Source organism: Homo sapiens, chromosome 3, assembly GCF_000001405.40.
Source record: "Homo sapiens chromosome 3, GRCh38.p14 Primary Assembly".
Taxonomy (NCBI): domain Eukaryota; kingdom Metazoa; phylum Chordata; class Mammalia; order Primates; family Hominidae; genus Homo; species Homo sapiens.
In genome coordinates this window covers 69,772,556-69,798,121 of record NC_000003.12, presented here as the reverse complement: position 1 = coordinate 69,798,121, position 25,566 = coordinate 69,772,556, and the positions used below count along the sequence as shown (strand labels likewise).

The 25,566-nt window shown below is 39.0% G+C and overlaps 1 protein-coding gene across 8 annotated transcripts in view; it reads right to left on the bottom strand.

The window, feature by feature from the left end:
* The window catches only part of MITF (melanocyte inducing transcription factor), a 228,869-nt gene that overhangs the window by 170,211 nt on the left and 33,092 nt on the right, over positions 1–25,566 (bottom strand). The window contains exon 2 of one of the 8 annotated variants that reach the window (NM_001354607.2): positions 3,607–3,735. The exons of the other annotated variants lie outside the window; for them this stretch is intronic. Coding sequence (NP_001341536.1) covers positions 3,607–3,659 — 53 coding nt within the window. The 5' untranslated portion in view covers positions 3,660–3,735. The remainder of the gene's footprint in view (positions 1–3,606; positions 3,736–25,566) is intronic. 8 annotated transcript variants of the gene reach the window in all.

The window sequence follows — 25,566 nt, the reverse complement described above, 5'->3', positions numbered from 1 at the left end:
ACTGAGGCAGAACCAGATCAGTTACAGGCCTAAGGTGGGTACACATATCCCAGCTCAGAGTCACAGTACTGGGATTCAGATCCACTGAAGCCAACAAAAAGTTCTGGATGGATTTTCCTCTTCAATTTGAATGCTGATTAATTAAAAATGAAAACTATGAGTCACCACTTTATCTGTGATCAGTTTAAAGCCCTCCATAAACATCTAAAATGTACGTTGCTTCTGCAACCAACATTTATATTTTTATTGTAATCTCTGACCCACAGCACTCAGGGGTCCCAGATTTGTATCACTACCTGTTACCATGGCACTGACTGCAAAAAGATAAAGATAACCTTGGTTATAGATGAAAAATGTTGGGTATTTCCACCAACATGGGTGGAAGAAATGACTTTGACAATCAAGTCACCTTGGGGAATCGTATTATTCTTCACAAAATGTACAGTGAAAGTGTCAGCATTTTAAAATCAAGACTGAAAGTAGATGTTGCTTTCAACCAAAGAGGACAATATTAAACTATGAGAATTCAAGAAAACAGAAAAGAGTGAAATGGGCTCTCTAAATTCTTAATTACTCCACCATCACACCTATACCCCTTCAAAATCTAAGGCAAAAATAATATTGTATTATTTATTTATTTTTTTAGTCCACCAAAATAGAAAATCTTTCCTGTCTGGCCAAAAGAATCCATTTCTTTTCTGTAGTCCATTCATTCCCAGAAAATATTTAATAAATGATCTTTAGTATAACAGTAGATGCTATAATAAGTCTTCATTTATATGATTTGTAGAAATTTCCATCGAGACAAAAAATAAAATACCTCTCTGAATATGTACAATCTGAGAACACAGGTTAAAAAACTCAAACAAACTCCTTGAGCACAAAGATTGGTATTTTAGATTTCCTGTATCACTCTGACCTTCAGCACCTGGGATAGGTGTAATACAATTTTCCATTCACATGTGGCATTAAATTGGCTTGAAGGGAGCGAATTAGAGGTATACCCTCTGGACTAAATTATGATACAAATCCCTGCATACTCCCATTAAAAATAATTTATAAACTTAGAATAGTAGATGTTCTCCTTGCTAATGTATTTAGCTTATGTTAGAGTCAGAAAACCTGCAATAAAAGTCTCCTATAAAATGGGTACAGTTTCTGCAACCTTTATCACACAAACATGGTCTTGGTGCTTCTGCTTTAACCACTTAACCCCTACACATCACTTGTTGGTGGCATTTGCTCAAGTATTTTGAAATGTTTAGTTTGTTGTCAAGGCAATAGATATGGCCTAACAAATCACTCTGTCCCAGGTTATGTTTCATGACTATCTTAGAAAGACGGTGTTTGCACTTTGGGAGGCCGAGGCGGGTGGATCATGAGGTCAGGAGATCGAGACCATCCTGGCTAACAAGGTGAAACCCCGTCTCTACCAAAAATACAAAAAATTAGCCGGGCGCGGTGGCGGGCGCCTGTAGTCCCAGCTACTTGGGAGGCTGAGGCAGCAGAATGGCGTGAACCCGGGAAGCGGAGCTTGCAGTGAGCCGAGATTGCGCCACTGCAGTCCGCAGTCCGGCCTGGGCGACAGAGCGAGACTCCGTCTCAAAAAAAAAAAAAAAAAAAAAAAGAAAGACGGTGTTTGTAAGCTTCACAAACTGCTGTGCATTCAAGCAGCTTTAAATGTTTTACTACCTGCAAAAGTATTTAGGAAATTCCTCATAGGCACTAAAAGAAAAAAAAATCCTTTCAGATTAGATTCCCTTTTCTAAATAAGAAAGAATGCTTTGCCATATTTCTAAAATGAATACAAACTAAACACAATCTTCAAAAATAGCAACAGAGGCCAGGCGCAGTGGCTCATGCCTGTAATCCCAGCACTTTAGGAGGCCGAGGCAGGCAGATCACCTGAGGTCAGGAATTCAAGACCAGCCTGGCCAACATGAAGAAACCCTGTCTTTACTAAAAATACAAAAATTAGCTGGTGTGGTGGCACATGCCTGTAATCCCTACTACTCGGGAGTCTGAGACAGGAGAATCATTTGAACCCAGGAGACGGCGGCTGCAGTGAGTCAAGATTGTGCCACTGCTCTCCAGCCTGGGCGACTGAGCGCAACTCCGTCTCAAAAAACAAAAACAAAAATAGCAACAAAAGATTAAAATTTTGCTTCATAACAGTGGATTTGATTTATGATGTAAAAGACCCCTATATAAAATGTTGTGGTATACATATGAACAAAAATAAATCACAGATAATCTAAAAATGTGTATTATATACTTATATTTTTTAAATACGTGCCTTTGAAATTAGATTGATTTAATATATTAGCTTTGTATGAGAAATATTTTGAAAATATTTGCATGTTGTAATTAGATTTATTTTTTACCTTTTATTTTCTGAAACACGGTTTCACTCTGTCACCCAGGCAGGAGTGCAATGGTGCAAAGAGGGCTCACTGCAGCCTCAACCTCCCAGGCTCAAGCAATCCTCCCACCTCAGCCTCCCAAGTAGCTGGGACCACAGGTACACACCACCATGCTCAGCCAATTTTTAAAATTTTTGTAGAGATGAGGTCTTGTCATGTTGTCCAGGCTGGTCTCAAACTCCTGGGCTCAGGAGATCCTCCCACCTCGGCCTCCCAAAGTGCTAAGATTATAGGAATAAGCCGCTATGCCCAGCCTAGATTTATTTTTAAATAATGTAAGACAGTTCATTGTTTTTTAAAAACCAAATGCAATATTTATATCAAGAGTTATCACGTAATTTTCTATATGTTTTTTAAAAATTAGAAGTGTCGTATATCAGGCTCTCTTAAAAAGAGGCAAATATTAATTTTAATGCATGTTTCATGGCATCTATTAAAATATACTAGTTTGCAAATGAAAACATAATACATCGCTTGGGAGAAAATTAAGATTTTAAAAGAAAATCTATTTACAACAGCATCAAAACATTTAAATAACTAAGAATAAATCTATCAAAAGATGAGCTAACCATTCCACTCCCAGGTATTTACCCAAAAGAAAATACATCATCCACTGAAGACATGTACAGGGATATTCAGGGCAGCTTTGTTCCTCATATCCTCACCTAGGAAAGAACCCAAATGCCCACCATAATGAGTAGAAAGATTGAATAAATTATTCATACAGAGCCTACTACTCACACAGCATCAAAAAGTACAAACTACTGTTACATGTCCCAGTACGAATGTACTTCAGCTATACTGTTAGACTAAAAAAGCTAGTCACCAAAGAACAAATACTATTTGATTCCATTTCCGTGGAGTTCAAGAATAGACAAAACTAAGTCAGAGTGATTGAGGTCAGACTAATGGATTCTTTCGGGAAGTGCTTACTGGCTAAGATGGGGAAAAGGGAATCTTCTACTGTGCTGGAAATGTCCTAATTCTTGACCTGGGCAGTAGCTACATGGATGTGTATCTATGTATAAATAAATAAACAAATAACAAATGCAAAGCAGCCTGGATGACACTGCTATTTTTTTAATGCATGTGAATTTTAACGTGTTGCCATTACCCTGATGACCAAGCTACCACGATTAAAATGCCAACCAAGGACATGAGAATTGGTTCTCCAGCATCTTACCTTGCCATTAAGGCACAAGAAGGGAGATGCACAAAGTTTATAGCCCAGTCCATAGGATCATCAGGTCATCTTTACAGTCATCTATTTGGAAAAGGAACCACGTCAAACAACACAAAGCCATCTGACTTTCTGTAAAAACAAAAAACAATGCTTTAATAAGGGGTCACATTTCTGATGAAGGGCCTGATGCCCAGCTTTGTTCACATACATAACACCACACCCTATTTCGTTAAGCAGACCAACCACAATAGCCACCTGCAAATGTGAAGAAACTTAAATAATTATATATATAGCTCACCTTTTCACAGAAAAAGATTATAGAATATGTGGAAACAGCAGTTTCCCTCAGTGATCTTCCCAATGGGGCTATTTTGCTCAAGGCCAGAAGTTGGGGGAGACTCTGTAGAAAAGATACTAGGAGAGGAAAGAGGTCGTTGGCTACCTGGATGCCACTGCCTCCTATACACTTCATATAGCTGGGGTGACATGGGTGGGACAATGGGTGCCTCGTGAACTGCTCAAATCCCAGTCGAAGAAAATGATGTCAGACGCAAATGGCATTCCTGCCTCATTTGAGTAGGTGTTGCCCCACCACAGCCAGAAAATATTCAAACTGTCTGATTGAGATAGCACAACTTATAAATGAGGACACTGTTGTCTATGTGCCATTATGGATACCAAAATGGCATAAACTGAAGATCATTCCAGTGCTGGCTTGTACACAGGAACTAAGTGAAGCTCACTATCTGGGGCCCAATACTGAGATTCACTTCTAATGCATGTGACATTACATTCATGTTGCCAAGTGTTGGTGAATACATAAAGAAAAGTAGTGTTCTTCCACATAACTGGGTTTTTAAATATATACCTTATATACATTATAGGAGTGGTTCTCAACAGGAGCAATTTTTCCACCCAAGGAACATCTGGCAGTGACTAGAGACATTTTTGGTCATCATAACTTGAGCATTGGGAGAGGGTGCATGCTATGAGCATTGGGAGAGGGTGCATGCTATGAGCATCTAATGGGTAGAAGCCAGGGACGCTACGTGTTCCACAACACACAGCACAGCTACTCACACCAAAGAGCTATATGACCTAAAATGACTAAAATGCCGAGCTTGAGAAATCCTTCACTATACAGCATAGATAGCTATAATGCAAAAATTCAAAGAGGTAAATCAGCAAATTAGAAAATCTGGCTGGGTGCAGTGGCTTACGCCTGTAATCCCAACACTTTGGGAGGCCGAAGCAGGCAGACTGCTTGAGCCTAGTAGTTCAAGACCAGCCTGGGCAACATGGCGAAACCCCATCTCTACAAAAAATACAAAAAAATTAGCCAGGTGTGGTGGCAAGCGCCTATAGTTCCAGCTACTCAGGAGGCTGAAGTGGGAAGATCACTTCGGCCCAGGAAATCGAGGTTGCCCAGGAACGGTGATTGCACCACTGTACTTCAGCATGGGTGGCAGAGGGAGACCCTGTTTAAAAAAAAAAAAAAAAAAAAAAAAAAAAAAAAAGCTAAAGACTTTAGCCCATAAAACAAGAAAAAATTTAAAGTAATAAAGCAAATGAAACATTTAGAAACCCTTTAATTTTCCTCTTCAAATATTATACAGGGTAAAGCTTTAAAAATATGTATGTGTAATTAAAATATGCAATGCTATCTTTTTAGTGGAGGAGAGGAAATTTTTAGTGGGGCAGAGGAATCAATCAATAAGGAATTTTATGAATAAATTGTGATAAAACTATACTATTAAAAAAATTAGCCATTAAAAGTAGCGATTTTGAGCTAAATGTACTGATTTGGAGAGATGCCAATAAAATAATGCCAGGGAAGTCAAGTTACAAGATTCTGTACCCAGAACGAGTCCACTTTTGTAAAAATTAGAAAAACAAATTTCTCTAGATACATATCTTATTTGCATGGGTTGGGGAAGGATTGTTGATATAAACCAAACTCTTAATATTGATTTCTTTAGAAGAGTAGGATTAGGGATGGTGAGTAGGGAAATTAACCACATTTTATCTATACACTATCGTTATTCTTTTGGAATTTAAAAAAAAAATCATATAATGAAAGCTTGAGCTTAAGAAGGGAGGGAAGGAAAAAGCAAGGAGATGAGAGAGGAAAGAAAAAAAGGGCATCACTGTAACAGCACATAGGAAAACTTGAATCTGTTGTTCCTATTTTTACCAGTGAGTGCTGCTGTTGACCAATTTAATGGATAAAAGCAGTGAAATAAAATTGAAGAAAGCAACTCCAAACATCTGGCCCTTTGCTCACTATCAGACCCTTTCAGCTAGCAACACAGTTTAGTTCAGTTGGCTTTGTTTTGTTTCGTTTCTCTGATCCACTACTCATCTTTGAAAATTCTGCATCAGATAGTGATGGAATCAACTAGTCATATCTCTTTTCAAAAACAGAGGCAGCAACTGTGCTAGATGACAGCTTCACTTCTGGCAAGTACAGATGAGGATTCAGCACATCCGTCTCTACTTCAAGGAGCAACTCTCAGGGCACAGCAACTTAATTATCCAAGTCTCATTCCCAGAAAGTTCCCCGAATACCTCTGCTCCACCAGTCTTGGAAACTAAGGCCTCCTCTACTGTTGTTCACTATTATTCAAAGCATGAAACTGCATTTTCCAAGTTCTACTGCACCAATGAAATAGACCCAGCATGAAACATATAGGCAGTTCTAATAATGCCTCTTGCATACACACTTAAATGCACACACAGGGATGTCATGCAGTGCATAGCTTTGAAAAACGCACAACTGCTGCATTCCAGTATTTTGCCTCTACTTGCCATTAGATGCCACCAGCCCTATCTTGAAAAACAACAGAATAATAAGATTTAAAAGAGAAAAAACTGTGCCAGTTTGAACTTTCAAATACCCAAGGTTTTTATATTTTGCATAAGTAGCCATTCTTCTTAACTTGCCATGAAGAGGTCTTGAGCCTCTTGGGTCTCTAGATTCCTTTCTATTGACAGGCATTTTCTTACAACTTGCACATAAAGAATTGCAAAACATGGTTGTTTTTGCTTGCAAAATAATGATTTGTTACCATACTATTAATCCAGTACTAGTAAAATGAACTCAGGAACATGTATTTGTCTTTTCTCTGTTATGACACTCAAACCACCACCACCACCACCACGCTGTTAAGAAGAAAACAACTTGGAGAGCTCTTCAGCGATCATGGAGTTTTCTTTCATCCCAGACTTGAATCACAGTTGCGGAGGCCGGATTTCACAATCCCCCTCAGGGACTGCAAGTGCTGGCGCCAATCACAGCATTTCCCTGATTAGCAAACTGGCTTTAGACCCTTCAAAAACTTTCACATTTGAAATTTAACACATCTATATTTAGAACATGACTTGCAGGACATTTGCTGTACGCAAAATGGCAAAAGAAAAAAGGGCATTGGGACTATATTTGTTCATATAGAAATACAGAGATGATAACTCTAGGACCTCAAACAGAAGCAGAAACCTAGAAATTAGTGTCTCTAAAAAGAAGTTAGTGTGGGAGCTCGCAGAGCATCCACCATCTACGGTCTATTATTATTGGATGCATTTGGAATTAAGAAGTTTAATATCTTAAACCTACAAATACTGTGGCCAGGAAGTTAGTATATCTGCACGAGGACTTGGGTCTTGTATAAGAAATTCGAGAGTGAGAGAAATGAATCTGAATTTCATGCCTAGGACTGAAAGTGGGGTGCTGCTCCTCAGCTACAGCCATTTGTTGATTGGACAGACTAGGGACTTGGAATTTCCAGATTCTCCAGTTTTCCAAGAGAAGCGAGATATAGGGGTTTTGATGTGAAAGTTCCTAATTTTTAAAAAATATTGACCACTATTTCACATTTGTCAAAAACTGATTGTCCATGGGCCACATTCAGCCTGTGGCCTTGGGGTTTGCAACTTCAAGTAAGATGTTGAAATACTCAATGAAGTAGTAAAATTAGTGCCAGGTGATAAATGTGAAATTTTTAAAATTGTGGTAAAAAACAAATAAACAAACATGTTACATAAAATTTACCATTTTAACCATTTCTAAATATACAGTTCATTGATGTTAATTACATTCACATTGTTGTGCAAGAGATCTCCAGAACTTTTTCATCTCGCAAAACTGAAGCTCTATACCCATTAAATACCAACTCCCCTTTTCCCACTACCCCCTCCCCCTAGCAACCACCATTGTACTTTCTGTCTCTATGAGTTTGACTCCTCTACATACCTCATGTAAGTGGATTCATACAGTATTTACCTTCTTGTCACTGGCTTACTTAACTTACTATAAGTGGATTCATACAGTATTTACCTTCTTGTCACTGGCTTACTTAACTTACTATAATGTCCTAAAGATTCATCTATGTTGTAGCATGGCATATGACAGGATTTCCTCCCTTTTTAAGGCTGAATAATACTCCATTGTATGTATGCAGCACATTCTGTTTATCCATTCACCTGCTGATGGACATTTGGGTTGCTTCCACTCTTGGCTATTGTGACTAGCACTGCTATGAACATGGATGTGCAATTATCTATAGGACCCTGCTTTCAATTCTTTTGGATATATATATATATATACATGCACACAAAACTGGGATTACTGGATCACATGAGAGGTTTGTTTGTTTGTTTTTCTGAGACACAGTCTCACTCTGTTGCCCAGGCTGCAGTGCAGTGGTGCGATCTCCATTCATTGCAGCCTCTGCCTCCTGGGTTCAAGCAATTCGCACGCCTCAGCCTCCCAAGTATGTGGGACTACAGGTGTGTGCCACCACGCCCAGCTAAATTTTTTATTTTTAGTAGAGATAGGGTTTTGCCATGCTGCCCAGGGTTGTCTCGAACTCCTGGCCTCAAGTGATCCACCTGAGTTGGCCTCCCAAAGTGCTGGGATTACTATTTTTAATTTTTTATGAACCTCTATGCTCCTTTCCGTAGCAGCTGTATCATTTTACAATCCCACCAACAGTGCACAAGAGTTCCACTTTCTTTACATTCTCAACAAGAGTCATTATTTTTCTTTAATAGTAGCCATCCTAATGAGTATGAGGTGATACTTCTCTGTGGTTCCGATTTGCATTTCTTAGATGATGAGTGACATTGAGCACTTTTTCACGTGCTTGTTGGTCATCTGTATACCACTTCTGGAGAAATGTCTCTTAAAGTCCTTTGCCAATTATTTAATCAGGTTATTTTATTTTTTGTGATTGAGTTGTGGGAGTTCTTTATGCATTCTGGATATTAACCAATTATTAGATATATGATTTGCAAATACTTTTTACCATTCTGCAGTTTGTCTCTGCAGTCTGATGATTGTGTCATTTGATGCACAAAAGATTTTAAGTTTAATGGAGTAGCATTCATCTGTTTTCTTTTTTTTTCTAGCACCTAGAAGACTGTCCTATGTCAATTTTTTATTTTGTTGCCTGTGCTTTTGGTGTTACATACAATAAATCATTGCTAAGTTCAATATCACTATGTTTTTTCCATACATCTTCTTCTAGGAGTTTTATAGTTTTGGGTCTTACATTTAGGTCTTGAATCCATCTTGAGTTAATATTTGTACTTTGTGTAAGATAAGGGTCCAACTTCATTCCATTGCATCTATCTAGTTTTCCCAACCCCATTTGATGAAGAGACTGTCCTTACTTCATTGAATCATCTTGGCACCCTTGTCAAAGATCATTTGACCGTATATGCAAGGGTTCACTTCTGAGCTCTCTATTCTATTACATTGGTCTATTTGTGTGTCTTTATGTCAATACCACACTGTTGTGATTATTGTAGTTTTGTAATGTGTTTTGAAACCAGAAAGTGTGAGTCCTTCAAATTTGTTCTTCTTTCTCAAAATTGCTTTGGCTCTTCAGGTAAATGCAAATTTTTGGTGAAAGACTTCTGGGTCAAGTTTTTCCAAGGTCCAAGATGTTAAGGGTTCTCTTTCAATCTTCTACCACTAGTAGTATACAGAAGCACTAACTGCAGAAGAATTTACAGACATAATGCAACTTTCCAGAAATTTTAAACTTAGCATTAGGTATATAGCATACTCAAAGTATCGTGGCTTCTCTGAGAGAGAAAATAGTGGTTATCACAAGGACAAAAAACCAAACACCGCATGTTCTCACTCATAGGTGGGAATTGAACAATGAGAACACATGGACACAGGAAGGGGAACATCACACACCAGGGACTGTTGTGGGGTCGGGGGAGGGGGGAGGGATAGCATCAGGAGATATACCTAATGCTAAATGACAAGTTAATGGGTGCAGCACACCAACATGGCACATGTATACATATGTAACAAACCTGCATATTGTGCACATGTACCCTAAAACTTAAAGTATAATAATTAAAAAAAAAAAGAAAAAGAAAATAGTGGTTAAGAAGACAGGTCCCAGAATGAAAGAGATCTGGGCTCAAGTTTTGGCTCCACCACTGCCTGTCTATGCAGCCTTGTGAACCTTATTTAACCTCAGTTTTCTCATCTTCAAAACAGAGATAATGACAGCATCTCCTTCACAGGGTTGCTGTGATGAATAAACAGAACAATGCAAATAAAGCACTTAGCACAGCGCTTACCCAGCACACAGTCAGCACTCAGTAACTTCTGGCTACCACCACCATTCTTGTTATTTATGCCTTTCAATAATAACTATTTTATTTTTATCAGTGGTGTAATTTTTGTAGGATAAAATGTAATGTTGGACACGTAGGAGATCCATGTGAAAACAGGAATCTTTTATGTATTAAAACATGAGGCTCAATGTCAGAAATAAGGAGCAGTCATACTGAGATCAAGAAGAGAAAAAAAGAAAAAAAGTGAGGGTAATTTATACTGCCCTAATGAAACCTCACACTGACTCATCCAAAAGGCATTTGGAATAGAAAACCACGGCCAGATACAGATTCAACTTAATGCTTTACAAATTCAAAAACCAAACACCAAGACTTTTCAAAAAGTGGAAAGAAAGAGAATCCTTCAATTTGGTCTAGTCTAGCCTGTACTACTAAGAAACAGAGAGGAACTTGGAACAAGATCCTTTACAAGTTAAACCTTGATCTAGTCGTTTATTCATTAAAAAGCCAGTTTCACACATAACTGCTAACATGAGAATACAAGAAAACTATCAGGTCAATTGTGTCATGAGTCTCAACTATTTAAATCTGCATCCATTCTCACTTTGGAAACTACCCTGATTTTCCTCTAGGTTTCACACTTCCTTTGGTGAAGTTCAGTCCCCCTTAGAATTCAGGAGTGGAACATGGTTCTGGTGTCTATACTAACCAGCCTAAAACCCATTCCTTCATCACATGCACTGGCTCATGAATGGAACATGACTTAAGTGTGGCCAATAAGAACGGTTTGAGCTTCTCCTTTGCTATCGTGGAAGAGCTCCCAGAAATCAATCTCTCTCTCTCTCACCACATGCGGGAGAGAATAAGCAGCCCCAGGAGTATTTGGCAGACATCTTATCATCACGAAGTGGAACCAGCAACACTCTAAAAGTGACATAACACCATGAAGGCAGAGTGGATTGGATGAGAAACCAGGTACATGATGATAACTCCAGGCCTATGGTCAATCCAACCATGATACTCAAAGCAAGTCCAAAAGGATGTGGACTCTTCACCTAAATGAATGAATAAATCTCCTTTGTTGCTGTAGTTGGACTTTCGGTCATTTCCAACTGAATGGATTTTTACCTAATATGCTCCTCCAACCCTAATTTTAAAGAAATTGTTTTTAAATGACGGTATTTCCACGGATGTATGCCCCAGATAACTGGGCTTCAAAAGGATAAGCCCATACAAGCAAACACGTCTCATTTTCCACAGTCTTATATAAAATCCATAACAATGTTACTCGAGGATTGTCACCAGTCATCTCGGTGCAACCCATAAGAACTTGAAGATATGTCTCCTGAGAGCAGTAAACACTTTTTAGATGCATTTCCTTTCCTCTCCTGAGTAAGCTAAGGGTATTTAATCTGTCCTAAAAGGATATACATTCATTTTACGATGTTAACTAAATTGAAGGAACTCTAGATATTTGATATGAACATTATGAAGACCTTGAACTTCAAAAGCGTCTTACCTCTACAGAGCGCAAAGGACTTCATACTCATTTACTGTCAACAATCCCGTAAAGCAGACAGAAGCAGGGATTCATGCCCTAGAGGCAACAAGAGGAAGCCACTGACAAAGGTCACCAGGCACCAGGCAGTTGCAGAATGAGAAAAACATCAGGTAAATTGTGGCATGAGTCCCAACTATTTAAATCTGCATCCATTCTCATTTACTTTGGAAACTACCCTGATTTCCCTCTAGGAGTCAAACCTCCTTTGGCAAAGCTCACTCCACCTTAGAATCTAAGAGTGGAATGTGCTACTTAAAGCATACGCAGGAAGCACTCAAGAAGTGTTAGGTGCTGCACTGCTTTTTTTGTTCTCCAAACAGATGTTAGAATGTACAATTTCCAATTTATTTGATCACTGAACCTTCCTTTTCCCCCATTAAGCCCTATATGGCATTATTACCCAGGTGACCTTTGAACTCTAGTTCTTGAACTATGTTTCATATCCCTCTTCCTCCTTCATCCACGGTACAGATCACCCTGGATGTGTCTACCTGTCCATCTCTTTTTCTCTAGCCCAATCTTTCTACCTTTCACCTCCCACGATTCCTTTTTTGCTCCCTTGACCATTCAGTAGATGGACATGGTCTCAGGCAAAAGGCCATGCTCAATTTCCCAAGGATGAACTTTCTCAGGTTGTATTTCCCTCTCACTCAAAACCTCAACTCATAAAAATAAGAAAAGACAATCTTCAGGTCATGGAGCCTAAATTACTAAGCAAAAACCAGTTCTGATGTGATTTAAGGAAAAAGCAAAAACCAGTTCTGATGTGATTTAAGGAAAAAGCAAAGCAAAAAAGGCAGTAACAACGTGCATTTCTGTCAAAGAGTATGGTACTATGGTTAAATGCATGAATTTGGGCACCCAAGCAATCAGCATTCAAGCCCCACTTGGATTGCTTACTGGTCATGTGACCTGCAGATGAGTATCTGTAAAACTGACATGAAAGATGGTACCGAGCTCATGGGATTGTTCTGATTTAAATGAGATAGTGCACAGAAGGTACTGAGCAGAGTGCCTGGCACATGGGAAGCATCAGTAAATGCTCACTACTGCTGTTAAATTACTGCTGCTGCTGCTGCTGCTGCTTGCTGTTATTTCAGGACACCACTGCCGCAGCACGCCGTGACTCACTGCTCCACTCAGCTTGCCTGCCTCAGCCCTCATGAAGAATGTTCAAGTGCCCGCAGGAGAACCTGAATTATGCTCAGTGCCACACAGATCAGCCCAGCTCTGCAGCCAAAAGTTCTCCACTAATACAAAGCTTTCGTGGAAGACACAGCAGAAAGACAATCATCTTGTGCTATTTAAAAAAAAAAAAAAAATCCAACTGCAGCACTTTGACAAAGATAACAAGGAAAATAAACAAAAGGCAAGCAGCTGGCTGCAGGGGCCCACAGTCCACGCCAGTCTCTCCAGAATGGGACACAGGACCCTTGAGATTTCCCTGGGGATCTTCAATGAAACACAAACCTTGGATCTGACCTTCAGAAGAAATCACCACAATAGTTTCTTAACTTTATGACACTTAGATCATCATTTTCCTATTTTAAGAAGTCCTTTATAAAGAAGAATCTGCCTCTAAATTCATTGCCTGGCTTAATATATCTTCAGGGAGTCTCTATCCAAGTCACCTGGAAAAGTTCCAATCTCTAATAATCCAACTAGTTATCTACCATGGATTAGAGTGGAGACTAGCTGGCTAGTTCAGCTTCCTCAAAAAAGTAATTTCTCTAATATGGGGGAGGGGGAAGGAGGGAGGGAATTTACCTTTCAGGAATATCTTCAGTTAAAAACTTTGTGTTTTTAAAAATCCATTAAAGCTTCTAGCTTTGTAACTGTTTTCTATACTAAGAGATCTCAAAATCTTTGACACTAAAACTCAGGGAGTCATTACTACCTATTCTGAGATCACAGAGAATCCTCAAAATGTCTTCTCAAAGGATTTTCATTCCTCCCTTCTCTTACCCCAAAAAGTAGCCTCTATAAACGTTAGAAATGTTTGCATTAAATTCTGGGATTTATAGTAAGGAGGAGTATTAAGTTGCTTCTGAAAAGCATTGATTACAACACCCACTAGCAAAGAAAGCCAGAGTTATCCTGAAAAAAGAACAAACAGTATGTTGTTCCTTCCTGGAGATTTGCTATGGAAAATAGTGGGTATTTAAACAACAACAACAACAACAACAACAACAAAACAAAAAGCAACTCTTCCCCAATGGCTCCTTTTATACAGACCACAAAGGAAAAGATGGAATTGTGATATTGCTAACATTAACAAAAGCCTTTCATCGCAAATAAAAAACACAAGCCATTAAAATACCCCTTAAAATAGTTGTCTCTAATATATTTGAAAGGGGAGAAGAAAGAGAGACAGGAAAGAGGAAGGGAACAAAAAAAGACAAAATTAAGTTGAATCTTTATCCCTATGCTGACACATTTCAGACCATGGTTCTCAAACTATAGTGGGACAAAAATCACAAAGAAGCTGAGCGACATGCAGATTCCTGAAAACCTCAAATCAGTAGAGACAGCTGGAGTCCAAAGACCCAGGAATTCCTATTTTTAACACATCCCCAGGTGACCCTGACACAGGTAACTCTTAAACTACACTTTGTGAAACACCACTTTTAGAAATACACATACACGAACAAAAAAAAACATATTCTGGATAATTTAAAACATCCTCTATCAGAACCTTGCAAATAAGTATAATAAAGTATACCATTAGTCTTTGGGCAGATCATTCGATTAGAGTAAGTAGGTCCTTAGTCATTATCTGTGGTGCAGAAAGCAACATAACCCAACTTGGCATTTAATAAAAGAGAAATAATCTCCTTTATTAAATATATAAATTATATATATATATATATCCTACATATCATATATAAATATCTCCTTTGAATACGTGCACACACACACATACAAACACTTGACTAAGTATTCTGTATTCAGATAAAGCCCCTTACCTTTCTTTTCTATTTGTTCAACAAAAACTATCAGTCAAGAATAACTAGGAATATTAGAAGAGTCTATCACATTGTTAGAAATCTAATACTGTACAGATGGGCAAGAGAGACAAGGAGCATCCAAGCAAAAGGTAATTTCAGGTATCTCAACTTCCCCACAATCTGTCAGAGGATACCTAGGTCTCTACTTCCAAACCAGTATTGTTCTCACACCTGGAAAAGAACCTGTCTGTTCACATGCATTAAATGAACTGGAATATCACTCCAAGGGAAAATCAGAATTTCCACCTCCTGGAAAGGATGGAATAAGGTCAAAAGGTGTTTATCAAGGGAACTGGTCTGTTCCTCTCATCCTACAGTACATTATACTGAAAGCAGTAAAAATTAGATGAGAATAATTTTTCTTATCACTAGTAGGAAATTATCTGGTGATGTTTAGGACTCTATTCTCATCTCTGTTAAGGAAATGTGTTAATTTTTATGTTCTCTGAGGCATGTGCAAAACAAAAACACTCACCTAGAACATAATCCCCTCAGCATTTGCCATTTGTAACTCCAATTAAGAGATTAAATATTCCTAGATTTACTGAAGTAGATAGTAATAAAGGATATTCAAAATTTATGAAAGGTCTGATGGTTACTTTGAAAGAACTAAAAATCCTGAGAAATAAGTATAGGTAGAGAATATTTAATCAGGGAATGCTCCAGAAGCAAGAAATGGCCTACAATAAAACAAGCTTCAAATAGAGAATACTGCCATGTGCAAACATTGCCCTAAAAACACACCCTCTGTAATGCTGCTTGGGTTTAGAAATCAGACAGGACTGGGTTCGAGTCACAGCTTATCACTTAATTAGCTTTGTGACTTTGAGTAACTCACACAACCACACTTAATCTCAGTGTTCTCATCAATTAAATGGAAGAATAACAGCAACTAATAGACTTGTTGTGAAGATGAAATTAGATAATGCATGCAGAGTCGCTAGCACATAATAAGCATTCAATAAATGTTAGCTACTATTATTCTATTATAAGGGTCAGGTGTATGGGTATAGGGCTAATTTGGCCTTGGCATCCACTGATTGATAGAGATGATAAACAAAAATTAAGAGCTTATGAAGCCACAGGTCAGGGGGCCAAACAAGTAATTCAAAATGGCTCATGCCTTATTTAAAAAGTCAGCTGTACAACAACCTCTCTAAATTATTATAGCAGACTGAGATTCTTATAGGGCAGGGCCTCTGTGTACAGCCACTCAGGCTGTGCACTGCACAATGCCAGGGGCTGCCATTCCTAGGCCATGATCTGAGCATGCTCTCTGCAGTTGTACAATGTTGCAAACCTGTCTGGAGTCTATCAACTACCTTCTGGAGATGTTGAACCCTAAATCTTTAGTGCAATGAACTGTGTTAGTGTCTGTTCCAAATGAACTTAGGAACTCATCAACGAGACAGGCAATCTATTCTGGATCCTTCAGGAACAGAGCTCAGTAAAGGGGTAGAAAGTACATTTAGAAAAAAGCATGCCAAGCCTTCGACAAGAGATATGCTGTTCCTAACTGTGTTGGAATCACTCAAATTCAGAAAGCCTGAACAGCAGGGAGCTCAGACTAACGCCTGCCAACACCTGCTGCTGTGGCTAGGAGGTACAGGGACTGCTTGGGAACAGAGATCTTGTTAAACATAGAGCTTTCACCCTTTTCTTATTTGCATAAGCAGTAGGACCAACCTTTGGGGGTGTCAAAATCTAATGAGAATTTGATCAGAGTTAATGGCCCTTTATCGGAAAAATACAGTATACTCCCACATTTTGTACACGTTTTCAAAAATCTAAGCAGGGATGACTTCATAGGCATGAGATCTATGCAGGTGCACAGGGCCCTGGGCTTGGTTTAATGCTCGCTGGTGTCGTCTTTACAATCATAACAAGGGGCTCCACATGTTCATTTTGCACTGGGACCTGCAAATTTTGCAGCCAGTTCTGAGTCTAAGGAGAACAAAAAGCGCCATGATAAAGTACATTTTAGTTGCATGTATTCAGGCTAATAAACATTTGGAAGTCTTATGTAACAGACTTTATCTGAGGGGCTCTTTTCTGAAAAGATACATGATTATGGACCCAACATTAACAACCTGGTCACGTATTTGAAAAGAACATGCTCACCCAAAGCAGAAAAGATCTGTCTTATCACTTAATAGTATTATTTTTTAATGAACTGGACACCAAATAGCTACAAATGAATTATGCTTCCAAAGGAAGCCACTGTATTAACAACCAGGTTTCTCCAGAATCACAGTTACTACTAAAAAAAAAAACAAAACTCACTATTATGTGGTTTTCTAAAAACTTCAAAGTAACATGAATGCTAAACAGGAGAATTTGCTATGTCCCTCATTTACCTTTGATAAACAGTGTCACCAATATCTAGACATCTTGATTTCAGTGGTAGGTTGTCTCCAAAGATGGTCACCAATGGACAAGGCCTCCCATCATTCATGCTTTGTGCAGTCCCTTCCCACAGTGAATCTGGTCTGGAGCAACTTGCATTAACTAACAGAAAGTGGCAAGAGTGATGTGCTAGCAACTCTGGACCTAGCCTTAAGGAGACTAGTAGCTTCTATTTATTCCCTGTTGAAACAATCTATAAGGAGTTCTGAGCTAACATCTAATTAGTCTGGTTACCCTGCTAGAAAGGCCACATGGAGAGGCCACAAGAGGTCCTGAAACCAACGGAGAAAGAGAAAGTTATAGCCATCTTAGAGCCCAAGGCAGGCTTCAAGATGTCTCCAAATCCAGCCATCATCTAATGGCAATTCCATGAGAGACCCCAAGCTAGACCAGGAAAACTGCTCCCCAGTCAATTATCAGAACTATGTGAGATAAAACAGTTATCTCTTTAAGCCACTCAATTTACCCAGTAATAGATAACTGAAATAAGCTCTAAACATTCCATCAAGAAAACAAAGAACCCACAGGGTGAATCTAGCTCACAGATGACTGCTCATTGGCATGCATCTTCTTTGTAATTTTATATTAGGTAACATTTAAAAATTGAGAGATTTCACAAAGAAATTTAGATTTCTGGCATCTAAGAAATCAAAACACCAGCCACACCGGACCTATAGTCACAAATGGTAACAACCAGTGGTAGAATAGTAGTTATCCCTCTAGACAGAACTCACTGTCTCGTCCAGCCTAACATCGTTTCCACGTGGCCCATTTTCCTTCAGTTGCATTGCCCTGTCTCTATTAGATCATCTTTTAACCCCTATAGTACTTACCAGACTGCATGGCACACAGCTGACCCTCAATACCTCTTTGTTGAGCAACTACACAGAGCATCAGCTTCTCTTATCAGCCCCATATTGCCAAATATCCCTTCTTCCCAATCCTATTGTTATGCCCCTACTCTCAGATTATTGCAAGAGCCTCCCAAAGGTGTCCTAGCTTCCATGTTCTTTTTCCAATCCATTCTAGTCCACAGCTACTAGGACAACCCACTTAACACAGACTTCAGCATATCATGGATTTCCCTTTAAAAGACTTCAGTTGATTTACCGGTTGTGAATTATACTAAATGTTACTACTGGGTGACACTGGATAAAAGATACATGGATATCTCAGTACTTCTCACAACTGTGTGTTAATCTATAATTATATCAAAATGAAAATTTTAATTTTAATTTTAATTATATATATTTTTTGACCCCCAATTTCACTTCTATCGACATTAAGTTTCCGTGAATTTTTAAGTCTTCAGTTGCTCCCCATCACATACAGAACAAAGTTCAAGCTCGCTCAGCCAGAATTTCAAGGGTCTCCTCATTTTGACCCTTATCAGAAACAGTAAATCCTGAAAACTTCTAATGTACTTTGCACACTACATGTGTGTGATAAGCCTGGGGCCATCCTCCATTATCCTGTAAATCTTCTGCATTCTCCAACATGGAGTTCACAATATCTCCCAGCAGAAATTAATCTTTCCCTATTCCACACCCCATCATATTTAACTTGCACCTTCAGTGTGTCATAGCCACCCTTGTTTCAGAGGCATTTTTGTGTATGTTTGTAGTAAGGATGTAAAGACTGTCTCCTGCTCTTATCCCAATTTCACCCAATTTCACAGAACAAACCAGTTCAGAGAAGTTAAAGAAAATCACACAGCATCGGGGTACACCTTGAGATGTCTCTTTCCAAAAATCTCTGCACCTTCTGCTATGCCTCAGAATGACTGTTAGCTAAAACAGTCACCAACAGAATTCTGCAAACATTAGGTGGTGAGACTATCTTGAATTAAACTGCAGCAAAGGACAAATATTTGCACTTCATGATACCCCGAATAATGTTACCTTCAAAAAGAGTGAATAAACATTTCCCTTCTGTAGTTTTAAACACAGAATAATTATATTCTTCACAGATCAAAAGTCATCATAAAGGGTATGACATTTTCCATCATACATTCCCTGCTTTTACTTGCACATCAGCCGGCGAACACCAAATGGAATTTTCCGCACTTGCTCGAAACCCAGAGAGGTCCACTGAGAATTTAGTAATAAGGAAGATTTGGAATAAATCTGAGAGAAAAAAAAATGGTTTTTGCAAGTTGAGAATTTTAATCAGGGAAAAATGTATTTAACATACTTTAAAGACTACTCAGAGCTATATGTGTTAGAAGGTATCTAAGAAAAATATAGTCAAACTTTAAGCACACTTCATACTGTATATGTTAATAAGAAATCATAGCTTGTTCTCCCTTCTTGATTTACACTCTTCTTAAAGTGTAAAGCAGTTGTGATGCCCAGAGGAGCGGCAGCCATCTTGCAACCATGAGGTGACAAATATTAGAAAAAAGTCAAGACAAATCACTGAGATGCTGGTTCTGACATCATGGAGCCACTAAACAACGGCAGTGATTACAGAGCCCTGGGCTTCTTGTATGGAGATAAATAAATCCCTATTTGTTTACACAACTGTTAATTGGCAATTTAATTTCATGCTTGAAAATGCAAACCTGACTGAAACACAGGTTCTACCCCAAGAACCAGACTCGTTCTAAAACAGTCAAATGACTATACTCATCTATTATACCCCATAAACATCCATCTACTCTACCACATATAGGAGGAAGAATTAATATTCATCCTCCCCAATCTGTTTTGTCTACCAAGAGCCTCATCTCCATGAACAGCACCATTGTTCTAACCACCTGCCCATGTGAGAAATCTAAAAGACATCCTTCCCTCCTTGCTCTCTCTTACCACTTAAGTCCAACGAATCACCCACCCTACGATTCTCCTTCCCTGATATCTCTCAGCTCCACCTCCTCTCCATCTCCACAGGCAAGTCCCGAGTGACCCCAGCTCTTGCCTACACTGCTCCTTATTGGTTTTCTTTGTCACCATCTCCTACAATACATTCTCTGTGGCACCGCCAGAGTGATCTTTCAGTAACACGAATAGAATGCCCTCCCTCCCACTTAAAACCTTTCCATTCCTCTCTATTGGCCTTCTAATAAAGCCCACCCTTCTTACCATGGCTTAAAAAGTACTTCATTCTATGGCCCCAGTGATACTGAACTTGAATTTATCTTCCCTTCCAGGTTCCCGCCTTCCAACCATGGCATACTGTTATCAGAGATATGCACATGCCTAGCGGAAGTTCCCCCATATATTTTTGATGGGATAACTTGACTTGTCCTTCTAGATCATATAATCTAGGAATTTCATCAGCACTTCCATATTTTGACTTGAAAGGATCTGACATCCAGGCCTTGATGCGACCATTAGCACTTCTCTGCACACCTGACTTCTCAGTGCAAGCTCCCACCCTTCATTAAAACACAGAGGACTTCAGGACCAATGCTACTCAAAGCCCTGCTTTTCTCAAACATCATTTGTACTCTGTATTATAATCACTGTTTTTTCTTCCCTAGTCACTTGAAACAAAAAAGGAAGTTGAACTTAAAGATATATTGCAAAACAACACACAGGTTTAAATATGGATATTGTAGCAACAATGACCCAAATGACTAAAGTGGAAAATGTTACCATCACTGGAATCAGGACTTATTCATTTCCAGTGATGCCACAAACAAGATATAACATTGAAATTTAGACCATGTCAAAACTTTACTCCATGAACATAATCTCAGTTAAGATAGGAAATAGACTTGACTTAAACACAGTTTATATGATGACTTTTTAATTTTTTTTTATTTTGGAAATTTTAGTTCCTGATGTTTCCTATGAGTCATTTTCCATGAATATAAAACTGTCCACCCAACACTGACCCTGACTAACTCTGATCTTTTGTGATCTGCAAAATTGCAAATGCATGATTATAAGACTTTTACTGGATATTTTTCAATTTGCTGAAACAGCTCCATTTATAGAAATACACCAACAGTAACATTACTCTCAACATTATTTTCTACATATTAATCCTTTTTATTTCCACAGAGTGTTTGTGGAATTCACTTCGAATATAAGTTCTATATAAGCCAGAGGCATATTCATAGTAGGACTAAAAATAATGGAAATAATCATAGTAATGGTAGTAGCAATTACAAGAAAAGTCTTTGCTATGAGTAGTGAGTATTTTCCATGTTCCAAATCCTATGCTGAGCACTTTACATATGCATTATCTCACCGATTTCTCATAAAAATTGACATTATAACTAGAATCATCCGCATATTACAAAAAGAGAAAATTGAAGCTCAACATACTTGGTACATTATGAAGTCTGGTTCAAGAACTTGCAGACTAACTGTCTGCAAGACCCAGACTTCTTCATCGCAACAAACGTATATATAGCACTTACCATGAACCACAAGTTGTTATCAACACTTGACACATACTAACTCAGTTAATCTTCATAATAACCCTATGTAGCAGGTATTATTACTATCTCCATTGTGCATATGAGGAAACTCAAACACGCAAATGTCAAGTAACCAGCCCAAGATGGCCCCACCCCTGAGTGCAAGTCCAGGATTCAGAAGCCAGGCCCTCCAGAGTCTGTGCCCTTAACTATTATCCTATGTAGTGTACTATCCCCTACCTATAAGGCATTTATAATGTGCTGGGCATTGTGACACTTTTCATATATTATCTCATGAAATCCTCACAATAATTCTGAAGGTAGCTGGTATTTTTATCTCCACTTTACAATTCTGAGGCTTACAGAAGTTAATTCAGTGGCCCAGGGTCACACAGTTTACAAGTGCCACATTGGTGAATATAAAGTAGCAACTTCTAAGTTTCACTCTCCCACTTCCCTAGTTATTTTCCTAAGGCATGAATGTCTGGGAAATAGCATGCATCAGATTTTCCACCTCTTTAAAACTCTTCAGTTCATATAATTTAGGGTGTGACTATTCATAGATACCTTTGAGCTAATCTTCTGGGAGCCAATGTAACCGCAATGCACACTGCAAAACAATGCACGCTTTCTCTGTAAATTAAAAATGCCAACCGAGCTTGGGAAAAGCCCATCTTTTGATATGAACAATTAGGGCAGTTTAGTTTTAGAAATAAAGAAAGTCCACTGTTCCTGCTTTTCTTTTTTACACACAGTAGGTAACTCTGCTCTTTCTTCTACAAAGAGTCCCAGTCAGTTTTCTATGCCTACCCTCTTAAAAGTTCCATTACACAAGCCAAAACAAATCCCTCCAAAAAAGGATTATGAATCCTATTAATGAAAAGTGGTATTTTCTCTATTCATTTTTAATAAAAAGAATGGGGGATCCAAATGGCATTAAAGCTCATTTCTGGAAACAGAATTAAGAAATAAAAATGCAAATATTGTAAAATAAATTGACAAATCACAGCCCCTCGTGTCAAGCCTATACCAATTAAAGAATGCTGATTTGTGTGTATCATTGGGTTTTGGTTTTTGCAGAGACAACCCTTAATAAAATTCCAGAAGGCCACAGACTTGGTGATGTTAGAGACAAGAATCACATCTTCTGTATCCTCAATAATACACAAAACCAATAACAGTTGTTACCCTCAGCTGAGACAGGCAGAGACATTTCACATAAATAGGTGAGAGAAAACCAGTCTTCTTTCCAGTCATTTACCCTTTCACTTATGGAGTCATACACTGCCTATCTGTGTTACAGCCTGGCTTAACCTCTGAGAATAAAATGGAGAACAAAACAGCTGTGCTCCTTGGCCCTTTGGAGTAGGGAAACAAACACTGAACATACGGATGCATATAGAATAATTATGTAAACAGCATGAAGGATAAGATTAGGAAACCATAAAAGAAAAGCATGGTAACCTAATTCAGATGAGGGGCAAGGAGGTGGGTTGGGAAGCAACCTTTAAGTGGAGACTAAAGGATGAGTAGAAAGAAAACAGAAGAATGGCAGGAAAATGTTCAAGATGGCAGGAAGAATGTGTGTGAAGGCCTGAGGTGTAAAATAACTGAAAGGAAGCAATGCAATGTGAAAGTCAAGGGCTCTTGGTTCCTGTTTCCAGCGTCAACTTCTGAACCTCAGTTTCCCCTCCAGCTCTAACAGTGCTCATTGGTATGGTCATTTGCCCCCTAAGCATTACCACAGGACAGCTGAGGTGCTAACATGCTAGCCTCCTCCTTCCGAGAGCCACGGTGCTGGTAACCATGGCAACTTTCCTCAGCAGCAAGGCCTCTAGCACCCCACACCCCAACATACACAGGGAGCCTCAGTTGAAGGGGAAAGTCTGGGAAAGTGGCAGCCCTTCTACCTCTTGGAAAGTTGCTTCCAGAATCTTTGACCTGGAAACTTAGAATACTCCTAGGCTGCCCAAGAAGCCAGTTAACAGAACACAAGGAATACATTGCGTCAGTGGATAAAATGACTAGGGCTCCACGTGACTCCCAACAGAGTTCATACTGGAGGCCTGAAGACAAGGTAAGACTAAAGCAATACTTCTCCACAGAGGAAATACAGAAACTGACTAGCCATCCTGCTACCTGGGGTACCAGTCTAGAAGGAGCACTATAACATCACAGGAAGTAGAAGAAATATTCTGGTGGAAGGGAGAAGATTAAGATGTCCAAAGGACATTCTTGAATAATAAAAGACGGTCCCTAAACCATCTTCTAATAAGAGTTACTTACCAGACCTTGGTGTGCCAAACATCATGATGCAACTTTGGGGCAGAGCCAAATTGCTCAGGGCTGTAGAAGAAAGCCTGCCAGGCCTCTGGCACCTCCTAGCATGTGTGGCACTAGGTCTAACTGGTTGTTGAAAATATTAAACATTTTTAAAGGATATTGGTATGAAGACATACCTGAATATTAGTCTGCCTGTGCTCCCATGGGCCTGCACCTAGTCATGGCTTCTGGCCCTCTTTTCTGCCATTAACACCATTTTGTAGGGTACTGTCTTAACCAGGACTGTCTCCTCCATTAACAACACTTTATGAGTTACTGTCTTATCCAGGAATCTCTCCTCCTACTCAATTCCTTAAGACGCTGTGTCTTATTTATCACTGTATCCCAACTGATAGCTCAGTGCAATACTCTACAAATCAATTCTATTTTCTATAACAAAAAATAGTATTAAGGCTAGTGATAAAGCTTATAATCTGTGTTTACCCTTACCATTTAGCCTTCAAGCAACCTTTAACATCAATATATAGAAGTATTAATGCTTCATAGTTTTCAATTTGAGATGTTTATGGAAAATTTTTTAAGTAAATAAAGCACAGAAAGATAATTTACAAATCTGTGGTCCAGCTATGCATACTCAAGGAGAAATGTAATCAGCCATACACATGAAATACTCACAGGAAGGCAACTAATCCAGGGTAACAGTATCAAAACCTGGAAGGTCATGAAAAACTATCCAACCCACAAGCATTGTTTTATAAGAAGGAATAAAATTGAAGCTAAGGATGCTGAATTTATTTGCCCCTACCTAGTGACAAAACCGTGGTTTACATGATCTCCAAATTCACAGACCCCTGTTTTCCCCCACCACACTGGGCTGCTACCTGAATTAATCAGATCATGCTACTCCTTTAGCTAGAAATCTGCAACGGCTCCCAATTTTTAATGAGTAAAAGGCAAAGTCTTTGCAAACCCTTACAGTGTCTGCCTCTGCCCCAATCCCATTCCTTCACTGACCCCACCTCCTGCCATTCCTGGAACTCCCCACTTTGCTCAGCCTGGTCCAGCCGCTGTGGCCATGATGCTGTTACTGAAGTAGACTCACTCCTGTCCAGATACTATGTACTTACTCTTCCTTCTGTCTGCTGTGCTTTGCCCCCAAATACTGGCATGACTCCCTCATCTTCTTTGGGTCTTTTCTCAAATGTCATTTTCTCAGTGAGGCAGTCCTTGTCCACTCAGTTTTAAATTACAAGTCACCCCAAACCCAGCCATGCTTTATCGTTCTCTATAACACTTACCAGCATTTAGCATATTATGCATTTTACTCATTCACATATTTATTTCTACATCTGCTTGCCCATGTAAGTTCCATGAATACAAAGATTTTCAACAGTTTGGTGCCCTGCTGTATTCCTCATACCTAGACAACTTCCTGAAACATAGTAAAACCTCAATAAATATTAGCTCAATAAGTGGGTGTATGGATTGATGGATAGAGTTCAAGAGTGGCCCAAATCCAGAGAATTCAAGAGCTGTGAAACGTTTGCTAGCATCTGGCAGCCCATAGGAAGCAGCTGGTGGCATGGGTGTCATCTACTATCACTATGTACCCACTTTTAACTGACACTCACTGATACTCCGCATGGAAGTCAGTAAACTAAGGAATGAAGTGACATAAAGACTTGTCAAAGCAATCCCTTTTAAGGCTGCATGACTCTCTGGGTTAAAGAGTG